The sequence below is a fragment of the Homo sapiens genome, chromosome 19 (assembly GCF_000001405.40).
Source record: "Homo sapiens chromosome 19, GRCh38.p14 Primary Assembly".
NCBI lineage: Eukaryota > Metazoa > Chordata > Mammalia > Primates > Hominidae > Homo > Homo sapiens.
In genome coordinates, this window is record NC_000019.10 from 32,861,640 (window position 1) to 32,873,738 (window position 12,099).

The 12,099-nt window shown below is 52.5% G+C and overlaps 1 protein-coding gene and 1 pseudogene across 6 annotated transcripts in view, besides 3 other annotated features; both read right to left on the minus strand.

The window, feature by feature from the left end:
- SLC7A9 (solute carrier family 7 member 9) overlaps positions 1-8,128 on the minus strand; it is a 39,257-nt gene extending 31,129 nt beyond the window's left edge. The window contains exons 1-6 of one of the 6 annotated variants that reach the window (NM_001126335.2): positions 8,047-8,128; positions 6,809-6,920; positions 2,990-3,137; positions 2,457-2,699; positions 822-947; positions 479-578 (exon numbers count right to left, since the gene is read on the minus strand). In NM_001126335.2, the coding sequence (NP_001119807.1) occupies positions 479-578; positions 822-947; positions 2,457-2,699; positions 2,990-3,137; positions 6,809-6,895 (704 nt within the window). In that variant the 5' untranslated portion in view covers positions 6,896-6,920; positions 8,047-8,128. Of the gene's footprint in view, positions 1-478; positions 579-821; positions 948-2,456; positions 2,700-2,989; positions 3,138-6,808; positions 7,007-8,037 lie in introns of those variants that run through there. The other 5 variants (NM_014270.5, XM_011526402.4, NM_001243036.2 and 2 more) reach the window with 5 other exon arrangements.
- On the minus strand, positions 1,161-1,453 carry RN7SKP22 (RN7SK pseudogene 22; annotated as a pseudogene).
- Positions 6,416-6,991: an enhancer, noted in NCBI's record as "H3K27ac-H3K4me1 hESC enhancer chr19:33358961-33359536 (GRCh37/hg19 assembly coordinates)". NCBI's record gives its function as "activates a minimal SCP1, AML or CMV promoter by ChIP-STARR-seq in primed H9 embryonic stem cells {active_cell/tissue: H9 hESC(primed)}" and the evidence as "EXISTENCE:reporter gene assay evidence [ECO:0000049][PMID:30033119]".
- Positions 8,433-8,955: an enhancer, noted in NCBI's record as "H3K4me1 hESC enhancer chr19:33360978-33361500 (GRCh37/hg19 assembly coordinates)". NCBI's record gives its function as "activates a minimal SCP1, AML or CMV promoter by ChIP-STARR-seq in naive and primed H9 embryonic stem cells {active_cell/tissue: H9 hESC(naive and primed)}" and the evidence as "EXISTENCE:reporter gene assay evidence [ECO:0000049][PMID:30033119]".
- Positions 8,956-9,478: an enhancer, noted in NCBI's record as "H3K4me1 hESC enhancer chr19:33361501-33362023 (GRCh37/hg19 assembly coordinates)". NCBI's record gives its function as "activates a minimal SCP1, AML or CMV promoter by ChIP-STARR-seq in primed H9 embryonic stem cells {active_cell/tissue: H9 hESC(primed)}" and the evidence as "EXISTENCE:reporter gene assay evidence [ECO:0000049][PMID:30033119]".

Genomic DNA, 12,099 nt, shown 5'->3' on the forward strand with positions numbered 1-12,099 from the left:
TCTCTACAAAGCATAAAAATAAAAAATTATCAGGGCATGGCAGCTCCTATCTGTAGTCCCAGCTACTCAGGAGGCTGAGGCGGGAAGCTGACTTGAGCCCAGGAGCTCAAGGCTGCAGTGAGCTATGATCACGCCATTGCACTCCAGCCTGGGTGACCAAGTGAGATCCTGTCTTAAAAAAACAAAACAAAACAAAACAGAAAACCTGAGCTTGGGCCCTGGCTGCCTCTGATTTGGCTGAGCCTGTGTTGGCCCAGTGAGGGTTCTACACAGAGCACTCTGGCTGACTGAGCAGGTGTCTCAGGGAATAAAGGGGAGAGGTTGTCGCATCCTTCACAAAAAGGAAATGTGAGGGTGAATGTCAGAGTCACACCAAACCCCAGAAAGGAGAACTCATTGTTTTCCATGACAGGTGGAGTTAAAGTCACCTGGAGAACCCCACCCACCCCCAGACTCGGGACATCTCAGGACACCTCACCATCCATCATAGGCCCAGAGTCCATTGTAAAACGCCAGGCTGATGGCTCCCACAGACAGCTGGGCGCCCTCGAAAGAATTATCAAAATTCTTTGTGTTTCCTGTAATGAAGCCAGACAGTGAACGGCGGGTGTCAACCGGGCAGATCTTGAGTGTATCTCCACGGGAAAGATGGGCATGATTGTGACCCCAGCTTAATAAACACGCCCTGAAACTAAGGATCCCTCCCACCGAGTTCCTGCCATGCTTCCTTGGAGATGGGCTCGTGGGGCAAGGCTGCTCCTGCTCCCAGTGGAAGGGCGTTTGGTGTGTGCCCGTGCAGGGCCCACCCTCCCGTGGGTCACCTTGGGCCAGGAGCACCAGCCCGCTGATGATGATGATGGCCACGATCACCAGCTTGGCCGCGGTGAAGATGTTCTGGACGTAGCTTCCCAGCCGCACGCTCAGTGAGTTCACTGTCGAGATGAACACTGGAAGGGTGGGGACAGTTTCTGCATTTATGGTTTTCAGCAAAGCCCTGGAGAGAGTCTCCTTTCTTTTATATATTTTTTATTTTTTTTTTTTTTTGAGATGGAGTCTCACTCTGTCACCCAGGCTGGAGAGCAGTGGCATGATCTCAGCTCACGATCTCAGCAATCTTTGCCTCCCCGGTTCAAGCAATTCTCCTGCCTCAGCCTCCTGAGTAGCTAGGACGACAGGTGCACGCCACTATGCCCAGCTAATTTTTGTATTTTTAGTAGAGAGCTTGTCTGGAGGTTCTAGCGGGGGAGCGCAGCTACTCATATACCCTTGACCGAAGACCAGCCCTCCTCTATCGGGGATGGTCATCCTTTTCCACCGAGTGCGCAGCTTCGGGAGGGATGCACGTGGAGCAGTGAGGGAGGAAGAGGACACTGGCCTAGCCAGCCAGATCACCTGAATCAACCCTGGCGATCAGTGGGGTGACAGATGTCCCTGCCAGATCGCCCTCATATCCAATTTTTGTAATTTTATTTTTATCTATTTATTTATTTGAGATGGAGTCTCACTCTGTCGTCCAGGCTGGAGTGCAATGGCACAGTCTCAGCTAAATGCAACCTCCACCTCCCGGGTTCAAGGAATTCTCCTGCCTCAGTCTCCCCAGTAGCTGGGATTACAGGCATGCACTACCCCACCACCCCCCTCCCCCGCCCTGCTAATTTTTGTATTTTAGTAGAAACAGGGTTTTGCCACGTTGGCCAGGCTGGTCTCGAACTCGTGACCTCATGTAATCCCTCCACCTTGGTCTCCCAAAGTGCTAGGATTACAGGTGTGGGCCACTGCACCTAGCCTCTTTTATTTTTTGAGATAGGGTCCAAGGCTCAAGTGATCCCCCCTCCTCAGCCTCCCACGTAGCTGGGACGCCAGGTGCATGCCACCATACCCGGCTAATGTTTTGATTGTTTGTAGAGTCAAGGTTCTCACTGTGTTGACCAGGCTGATCTCAAACTCTTGGCCTCAAGCGATCCTCCCACCTCAGCCTCCCAAAGTGGTGAGATTCCAAGCATGAGCCACTGCCTGCGGCCCACCCCTACTCCCCCACCAGCCACCATATCATCTCCCAAATTCCAAGAGGGCAGATCCAAACATGGGAGTTTAAGGACCTTTTAAAAGAACCTGGAGATGACCTTAGCCGGGCTGCCTCAGATGGCGAAAAATTATCAGGGCGTGGTAAGCAGCCTCCCGAGTAGCTGGGATTACAGGCACCTGCCACCACGCCAGGAGAAGCTGGGCCCTGAGCCAAGGCTCTGCCCTGCAGGACAGCCAGCGGCACCCCTCCCTGCAGCCCCCACGGGCCTGGGGGTCCCCAGTGTGCAGCACCCACAGGTACTGCAAAGGCTGATGCCAGGCCCTGCCTGGGCTCTCACCAGAGACTCACTGGGGAGGAGCTGAGGGCGGAGTCCCCAGACACCCTCTGTGCCAGGTCTTTTCTGACCCCTGCCCTGGGCTCAGGTACTCACAGATGGCGGCGGCGGCCAGGCATTTCACAACGATTTGAGGAGGCTTGCAGCCCACATAGAAGGGCGCACACACATACTCGGAGAAGCTGAGGCAGATGATGGCGAAGGACGTGGGCTTAATGACGATCAGGCTGGCCCAGGAGAAGAGGTAGGCGGGGATGGGCCCGTAGGCCTCCATCAGGTAGGGATACTCTCCCCCTGACTTGGTGATCATTGTGCCAAGCTCCGCAAAGCACAGGGCACCTGGAACACAGAGAGGAAGGGCCCACAGGCCCCTTGTGAGGCACTGCCCCGGCCCCAGGGAGCCTTCCTCCCACCGGAGGCTGCGCTCGTATGGAGGGGCCCACCGTGGTCCGCCCTCGCTGGACGGCCCTGAGCTCCAGCGTTGGACATTCAGTCCAGCCTGATTTACACCTGTTTGCCATACATGTGCCAAGAGGGATACTGGCAGGGTGAGGGCTGGCACAGGTAGCAGCTGCCTGGCGTGCCCCTGCATGCTTCCGGGGCTGCAACAGGCTCCCAAGTCTCTTTACCCAGCGTCGCGAGGACCCCGCAAGCCGCCCATATGATGAGGCAGGGCCCCACAGCTTCCGTGTTGCTGAGCACAGACTTGGGGGAAACGAAGATCCCAGAGCCAATGATGGTGCCCACGATGATGGAGATGCCACTGATGAGGCCCAGCTGGGTGTGGAGGAAGGAAGAGGGCGTTAGTGCCACGCCCGGACCCAGCCCAGAAGGCCAGGTGCCACCCTCCCTCGGTACGGCCAGGGCGGCCCCAGCCAAAGCCCATGTCCCAGGCGCTTCCACCCTGAGCGGCTGCCCTGGCAACACCGGGGCACCGCTCCCGGAGCTTTGCTTATGTTAACGTGATTAATTATCGTGACAGCCCCGCGAGCTGGCCACACTGTGTCACCCCCATGGACAGAGGAGGACGCTGAGGCACAGAAAGATTAGGAGGCTGTCCGGGGTTTACAGCTAGAGAGGGGGAAACCTGGCTCAGGTTCCACGTGCCTAACCGTGATCCTGTGCCCTCAATGAAAAGGCTGACTTGGCAACAGCTCACCAATAAGAAAGGCCCTCGGGATACGCCTCTGAGCCTAGAGTCCTGGCCAGAGGCTCCATGCAGGGTGAGCAACGGAGGCCTCCCAGAAACAGAAACATTTGGGCACTCTGAACTTTCTGTGGTGCCATTTTCTTTTATCTTATTTTTATTTACTTATTTATTTAGAGTCAGATCTCTCTCTGTCACCCAGGCTGGAGCACAGAGGTGAGATCATGGCTCACTGCAGCCTCGAACTCCTGGGCTCAAACAATCCTCCCAACTCAGCCTCCCAAAGTGCTGGGATTGCAGGCGTAAGCCGCCGTGCCTGGCCCAGTGCCATTTGCTAGGATGGGAGCTTTCTGAGAACAGAACCCAGCTCAAAGAGACACCAGATGGTTCCATGCCTGTGAAGTTCAAGAACAGGTGAAACTAATCCACAGCCACAGGAATTCAGGGCTGGGGCCCTGCCTAGAAAGGGGCACGAGGGAGCTTTCTGGGGTGGTACATCTGTCAAAACTCACCAAACTCAGCACTAAAGAGCTGTACATTTCGACCAGGTGCAGTGGTTTATGCCTGTAATCCCAGCACTTTGGGAGGCCGAGGCAGGCGGATCACCTGAGGTTGGGAGTGGGAGACCAGCCTGGCCAGCATGGAGAAACCCCGTTTCTACTAAAAAATACAAAAATCAGCCAGGCATTTTGGTGCACACCTGTTCCTAGCTACTTAGGAGGCTGAGGCAGGAGAATCTCTTGAACCCATGAGGCAGAGGTTGCAGTGAGCCACTACAATCACTCCAGCCTGGGTGACAGTGAGACTGTCTCAAAAAAAAAAAAAAAAACCTGCACATTACACTGTATGTAAATTACACACCAATCAAGGAGGAAAAAAAAGTCCAACTCAAGCCCTACTCATAACACTCGTCCTCAGAAGCAGCCCCGGCCAGATCTCCAGAGCCTGAAGTTTCCAGCACCCATGTTCACCTGTCTGGGAAGAAGCTGGGCTTGGAGTCAGATCGCAGGGGATGAGGGGCTCCCAGCTGCAGGCTGCCACCCTGAGGACTCTGCACACACCAGTGGGATCCCTGGGGAGCAGCGTCTGCTTTCAGGGCCAGGGCGCACTTCCAGGACAGGGCGGGGATGGGCTCAGCTCTCCTCCTCATCTCAGCCCTGCCCAGGACTGGCAGTTTGGCTCCAGAATCCTCCCTCCTGCTGAGGGACTGCCTGGGTTCTGATGTGGGTGAGGTCTGCATTCGCCCTGAAGCTGCCTGACTGAGGAGTAGACCCAGCTCAGATTTTTGGTTTTTAGAGTCAGGGTCTCGCTCTGTCACCCAGGCTTGGAGTGCAATGGCGCGATCATGACTCACTGCAGCCTCGATCTCCTGGGCTCAAGGGATCCTCCCACCTCAGCCTCCCAAAGTGCTAAGGTTACAGGCGTGTGCCGCCACACCTGTCCCCAGCTCAGAAGACACATCTTGGGGATTTCTCAGCTGTGCTCTGTGGCCACTGGGGCCCACCAGGGTTCTAAGAGGCCCTTCCTGAGATCAGGCCTGAGACTGGCAGAGAGGGAAAGTGCTGCAGCCCATCGTCTACCTCCTGGGGGTCCCAGGCCAAGCCATTCAGGCCATTGCCAGCCCTCCGGTCAAGCCCTAAAGCCTTGGTGCCGTCCCTCCTCCATCCCCTCTGCTGCCAGGCATGGGAGCTCTCGGAGGCCCTGCCCACACCTCTGCCCTGGAAGCGGAAGCCATCCTGAGCTCACCTGGAGCTGCCTTTCCTCATCCTAGGAGCCTGAAGCCCTCCCTGCGCCTCCATGCTCAGCACCTGCTGCTCCCAACTGCCTGGGACTGGCGCAGTGTGCTGTGTTGAGCTCCTTTCTGCCTTCCCCCCAGCCCCAAGCTCCCTTTCCCTGCAGGCCCAGGGCCAGCCCCAGCTGCTCACTGCAGCCCAACTCAGAGCAGCTGTCCCTGGTAGATGCCTCTAAGACAGAACAGGCTATGCTGGGGGCAGTACTTCCCATCACTACAGCCATTCAGATATAAGGAGGACAGGCATTTAGAGGGGACTCAACCATCAGAACGCCCTCTCTGGCTGGGCACAGCGACTCACGCCTATAATCCCAGCACTTTGGGAGCCTGAGGTGGGAGGATCGCTTGAGCCCGGGAGTTCCAGACCAGCCTGGGCAACACAGCAAGATACTGACTCTACAGAAAGAATTTTTTTGAAAAGTTAAAAATTTGGCAGAGCATGGTGGTGTGCTCCTGTAGTCCCAGCTACTCAGGAGGCTGAGGCAGGAGGATTGCTTGAGTCCAGGAGGTTGACGCTGCAGTGAGCTATGATTGCACCACTGCACTCCAGCCTGGGTGACAGAGTAAGACCCTGACTCTAAAAAAATTTTTTTAAAAATTTTTAAAAAGAACGCCCTTTCTGACCATTCCTGGAAAGGCCATTAGTTTGAACAAAAATACTGGCCCGTCTAGACACTTGCTCAACACACAAAAGCACCTATTTATGAACTTAAAATAATATGCGGGCCGGGCAAGTTGGCTCATGCCTGTAATCCCAACACTTTGGGAGGCCGAGGTGGGCGGATCACTTGAGGCCAGGAATTGGAGACCAGCCTGGCCAATATGGTGAAACCTCGTCTCTACTGAAAATACAAAAATTAGCCAGGCGTAGTGGCACATGCCTGTAGTCCCAGCTACTCAGGAGCTGCTTGAACCCAGGAAGCGGAGGTTGCAGTGAGCTGAGATCATACCACTGCACTCCAGCCTGGGTGACAGAGCAAGACTCTGTCTCAAAAAAAAAAAAAAAAAAAAAAAAGAATATGCAGCCGAGTGCAGTGGCACACGCCTGTAATCCCAGCACTTTGGGAGGATCACCTGAGGCCAAGAGTCTGAGACCAGCCTGGCCAACATGGTGAAACCCTGTCTCTACTAAAAATACAAAAATTAGCCGGGTATGGTGGCGGGTGCTTGTAATCCCAGCTACTCGGGAGGCTGAGTCAGAAGAATCCCTTGAACCGGGGAGGTGAAGGTTGCATTGAGCCGAGATGGCAGCACTGCACTCTAGCCTGGGTGACAGAGCAACACTCCATCTCAAAAAAAAAAAAAAAAAAAAGAAGATGCAGAATTCCCTGGCGAGAGGGAAAGAGAAGTAAGTCCAGAGATTATCCCTTTAAAGATGTACTTCACAAATCAAAGAGTACATCTTCTGCCGTGTCACTAGGGATCGGCCCGGATTTCACTGCCTGCGCCCCTCGTTCAGACGCCCTTGCCTAACCTGCAAAGGGCCTGCCCCACCAGAGACCGCCTTACCTCCTTTTGGAGACTGGTGGTCTTAGGCTCTTGGCTCTGGATCGACTTCTCATCCTCTCTCCGCTTTCTCAGGCCAGTATCCCCCATGTTTCCTCCTGCTGGTTCCAGGAGACTGCAAGGAGGGCGCACAGCTAAATCTTGGTTCAGCAGCAGCAGACAAGACGCAAGTGCAAGCTCGGCCTGGACTAGGGGAGCTGGCTGCAAAAGCACAGTGTTGGTTATTGCTGCAGGTGGGGGCCGCTGCCAGTCCCTCAGGGCTCATGCGCTGGGCCCCAGAGTCAAAGTCAGTCATTAACATTGTCCAGGCAGGGGAACACAGCTCCCCGCTGCTCTCCAAAGCTCAGCTGCTTGCTTAGCTCTCTCCCAGACAGGCCCCGGGAGCCTCCTGGCCCACGTGCCTGTGCCTTGAAAGTCATTCTACCTCTATGGTCAACTTCATTTTTTTTCAAAAGTAAAAAGAAATATTTAACAACATCCCGGGCTGGGCACAGTGGCTCAGGTCTGTAATCCCAGCACTTTCGGAGGCCGAGGTGGGTGGATCACTTGAGCCCAGGAGTTTGAGACCAGCCTGGCTAACATGGCGAACCCCGTCTCTACTAAAAATGCAAAAAAAAAAAAAAAAAAATTAGCTGGGTGTGGTGGTGGGTGCCTGTTAATCCCAGCTACTCGGGAGGCTGAGGCAAGAGAAGCACTTGAACCCTGGAGGCAGAGGCTGCAGTGAGCCAAGATCATGCCACTGCACTCCAGCCTGGGCCACAGAGCGAGATTCTGTTTCAAAAAATATATATATAAAAAATTAAAAAATGAAAATATTGTGGAATGTATTTATCAGAATCAAGTCCAGGTAAGGAGTGTCTGTCTTATAATTCCTTCCCAAGATTAAAGGCACTCCCATACATCACAGATCCACAATACAGGTACTTTTTCTTTGTACTTTTTAAATTTTTACAATATTTTTTATAAAGACGGGAGTGTTGCTATTTGCCCCGGCTGGCCTCAAGCAGTCCTTCCACCTCGGCCTCCCAAAGGGCTGGGATTTCAGGGGTGAGCCACCACGCCTGGCCAGGTACTTTTTCATTGAGTGATGAAAGGAAAGAAAACATTGCCGAGGAAACCCAGTTCCAGACTGAACTAGGAGAAAACCATGCACTCCTGTACCCTCTCTCTAAATAAATTATCTGTCCAGGCCCCGGCCAGGAGAGCCATGAGCCTTTCTATCACCTACTGACCTTACTTACCTTCCTCCGTGACCCTGCAGAGCCGGAGGAGCTGCGGCCCAGCTGACCGCCCGTGCCTGCACGGTCCAACCCTAGAAATGGCCATGTCTTGTGCCCAGGAGCAAAGGAAGTCCAGAAGGTACAGAGGTCAATAAGGGTAATTATTAAACACCTTTTTTTTTTTTTTTGCAATGAAGCTTAGATACGCCACACAAAAAAGGGGAGGGTCAGGAACACCAATTTCTCTCCAAAACCGTTTTTGTTTTGTTCATTTGTGTCTAGGTCAGATTATTTTTTTAAAACCAGATGGTCCCAAATCGTCTACACTTTTTACCTAAAGATAAAATAAATTATGCCTTCTTTTATCTTTGGGAATCAGAGGAGATAAACTTTGGAACCAATTCGCTAATTGCCTTAATAGGCTATATTTAAAACCCAAGTCAGGCAGCTCAAACAGGAACCGCTGTGTGTGCGTAACTCAGCTGTTGGTCAGTTTCCTCCCCGCCCAGGAATTTCCCCCAAGCCAAGGGCCTGCCTCTGGCTGAGCAGGTGAGAGCGGCTGAGCCCGTCCCACTCCTCTTTACCAGTGATGGGGCTTCACCACTTGGAATCACAAGCAGGCCTGAGGCAATGCAGGGCCTCGTGTCCTCCCTGCAGCTGCGGCCAAATGCCCATCAGGTTTGGCTGTGGTGCTGTTCACGTAGCCATGTCCTGGCTCATCACAAGGGACACAAAACCTTCCCCTTCGGGGAAACGGAGGGGGACAGGCAACACAAGGCCAGGAAGCTCCGGTCCGCATCCAGGGCTGCCAGGGTCTGGATCTCTCTGGGAGGGAGCAGAGGTTCTCCCGCACTGCGATTGGACCTAGGCTCAGGCGGCAGCCTCAGGGGTCAGCACGAAGCCCTTTCAGATAGGGAAGGAAGCACCTTATGAGACCTTATGAGACAGCCTGGCACAGCATAAGCACTGCATCTGAAGCATCGTAGCTGTTACCTTCAGCCAAAACTCTGGTAGCTTTGCCTTGGGCCAAACTTAACTGCATCCCAGATATCAGATGGAAGCAAAGGTCAGGGATGGAAGGAGCTGGGCCAGTCTCTGGGGGTCAGTTTGGGAGCAGTTTGGGGCAAGCAGACCTGAGAGAGGCACAGGTTTCTCTGAAAGCCGTCTGCAGAGCACAGGGACCCTTGTTGTCCCAGAGGCACGGTCCTGATTTAGAAGTTCGTCACCTCCCATCTTGGGAGGGCCCACCTGTTTACCTGCCTGCCATGCCCAGAGCCCTGAGCAGAGAGGCTAGTGGCAGGTCCTGCCACCCTAGACAGAACCTGCCCACCGGCTTGCTGGGGTCACTCCTCCTAATGTTGCAGCACTCATCATAGTACCTGGCACATCCATGTTTGCAAAACACCACAGAATACCCCCTGGGTCAAAAGTGCTCCTGGCAGGCTGACAGGAGACCACGTGAGGACATCAGGGTGGGGCAGTGGTCCCCCGCTGGGGCCAGACAGCCCTGCAACCTCACCCACTACCCACATGGGCTCAGGCAGCACTGCCAGGATCAGGGTCTGAACCTGCGACGCAGGGCGAGCAACAGGCGCCTCCTCACGGAACACACTGAACTTGCATGTTCCATGAATGTCCGGGACCAGCCCTCTGGTCTTCCTGGGCCTCTTCCAAGTGCCGAGTCTGGAACATCGGGATGTGAGGGTCCTTTGTTAAGTCAGAAACCTCCACTTCAGTTCATTTTGGGTCCACGGTGAGCATTTCTTAAGCCTGTTTCTTAAAGTTGTGTTTTTCACCGCAGTCCCACCCTCTCCCTCCCTTGAATACACAGAAAGTATTCAAGTAATTCTCATAAGCTCTTCCTCATGGAAAATAATACGGATTTCATTTAAAAAGCAAAATTTTCCTCAGTTCTTGAAGACCATTGGTTCATTGTGTATCCAGTGCTTCTGCCATGTGACTGAAGTTTCACCTCCCTGCTGTCAATTTTTTTTTTTTTAGATGGAGCCTCACTCTGTCGCCCAGGCTGGAGTGCAGTGGCACGATCTCAGCTCACTGCAACCTCTGCCTCCTGGGTTCAAGTGATTCTCCTGTCTCAGCCTCCTGAGTAGCTGGGATTACAGGCATCCACCACCATGCCTGGCTAATTTTTGTATTTTTAGTAGAGATGGGGTTTCACCATGTTGGCCAGGTTGGTCTTGAACTCCTGACCTCAAGTGATCCACCTGCCTCGGCCTCCCAAAGCGCAAATCCTACTGTCATTTTTACCATTTTATTTATTTATTTTTGAGACTTGCTGTGTCACCCAGGCTGGAGTGCAGTGTCATGATCTCAGCTCACTGCAACCTCCGCCTCCCAGGTTCAAGCGATTCTCCTCCCTCAGCCTCCCGAGTAGCTGGTACTACATGTGTGACAATATACCCGGCTAATTTTTGTATTTTTAGTAGAGACAGGGTTTCATCATGTTGGCCAGGCTGATCTTGAACTCCTGACCTCAAGTAATCCACCCGCTTCAGCCTCCCAAAGTGCTGGGATTACAGGTGTGAGCCACCACACCCGCCCAACCACTCTATTTCTTAAGTTTCTGCTAAAGACTCTTGACCTTCATTTTCAACCCGTGCTTTTTCCCTTCCGATTGCAAAAATGCTTGCAGTGTGAAGATCTTCACACCATCTACATTTTATCTTATATTTGGTGCACATTTGATTTCAGTTGGGGAGGGTAAAATGCTTCTCTCCACCCTTTTGGGTTCTTTGGTTGGGCTTCGAATTGAGACTAATGGGAGGAAAACTGTTTTAATTATGTGTATATGCAACTGAGTCCCACAAAACAAGAGACTTGAAGAAGGGCCAGATGACTAAACCCTATATAGCATCCTGAGCTATATAAGGATTAGGGGCTTGGGGCTTCTGGGGCAGGTAGGGACTAGTAATGGGATGGTGAGGGGAGGAAATGCATGGCGAATAAAGGTCGTCTTGTTATGCAGATATAAGTCTCTCAGGTAATAAAAGTTGTCTCTTCCTGGTACAGATACTTGTACTAATGTAGATTTCCTTCATGACATACATTTCTTTTGCAAAGGGCAGCTTTTCAGAGCTACACCTGTTGTGTCTGCAGTTTCTCAGAATAACCAGCTCAAAATATTCCAAAGAAGTATAATTTGGGGTGATATATATCTAGTCTCCTACAGTCATATTTTGGGGGTGGTGTGTCCTGAGCCCCAACATTTCCTTCTCCTGTGATGGTTTGTGTCTGAGACAGGGTCTCTTGCTCCCATGCTAGAGTGCAATGGCGTGATCATGGCTCACTCCAGCCTTGACCTCTTGGGCTCAAGTGATCCTCCCATTTCAGCCTCTCAAAGTGCTGAGATTACAGGCGTAAGCCATTGCACCTGGCCTCCTGTGATGGTTTTAAAGACGTCTTTAATCCCATAGTGTCAGTCCATTTCTGCACAGCCTCTGGGCTGCCCAGCTGGGTGCCTTGTTCTCTAATTCACTGTCCTCGTGACAGAGGCAAGGTCTTGGGCAAACATTCAGGCAGAGGCTGAATCTTCCTTTACCGCTGAAAGCTTGTTCCAGACCTGCCTTCAAGTTTTCACCTTCTCCTATTCATTAAGTTCACTCGGTCTTGTATTCCTTCCCACTGCTGCTGACGGTAGCAGTTGGGGATTTGGAGGGGGACCCAAAAGACAGAAATAACTGGCATACTACCACAGATAGAAGAGTTGTTTGTTCCCTTACTACCTGAATTCCAACCAGAAGAACTTGTGATGAGTTAGCGATGTGCAAAGCCTTTCGATGTCAGGGACGTGCTGTCTAGCCATAAAACAATTAGCAAGGAAAGCATAAACATAATTTCAAAACTCTTATCTAGGAACAATCTATATATATCCAACAACTATTGGAATAGTACAATTCTGCCTTCGAACTTTGTCCATCATTTTTATGTGTTCCAAGTAATATGGTTTTGCATTAAATAACCTGCGTGGGGAAGACAGTTGCAGCATGCTGTCAAAACACGACTTCCCATCCTGCTCCCTTCCCCACCGACCTCGTCACGATTCATGGTCGCTGC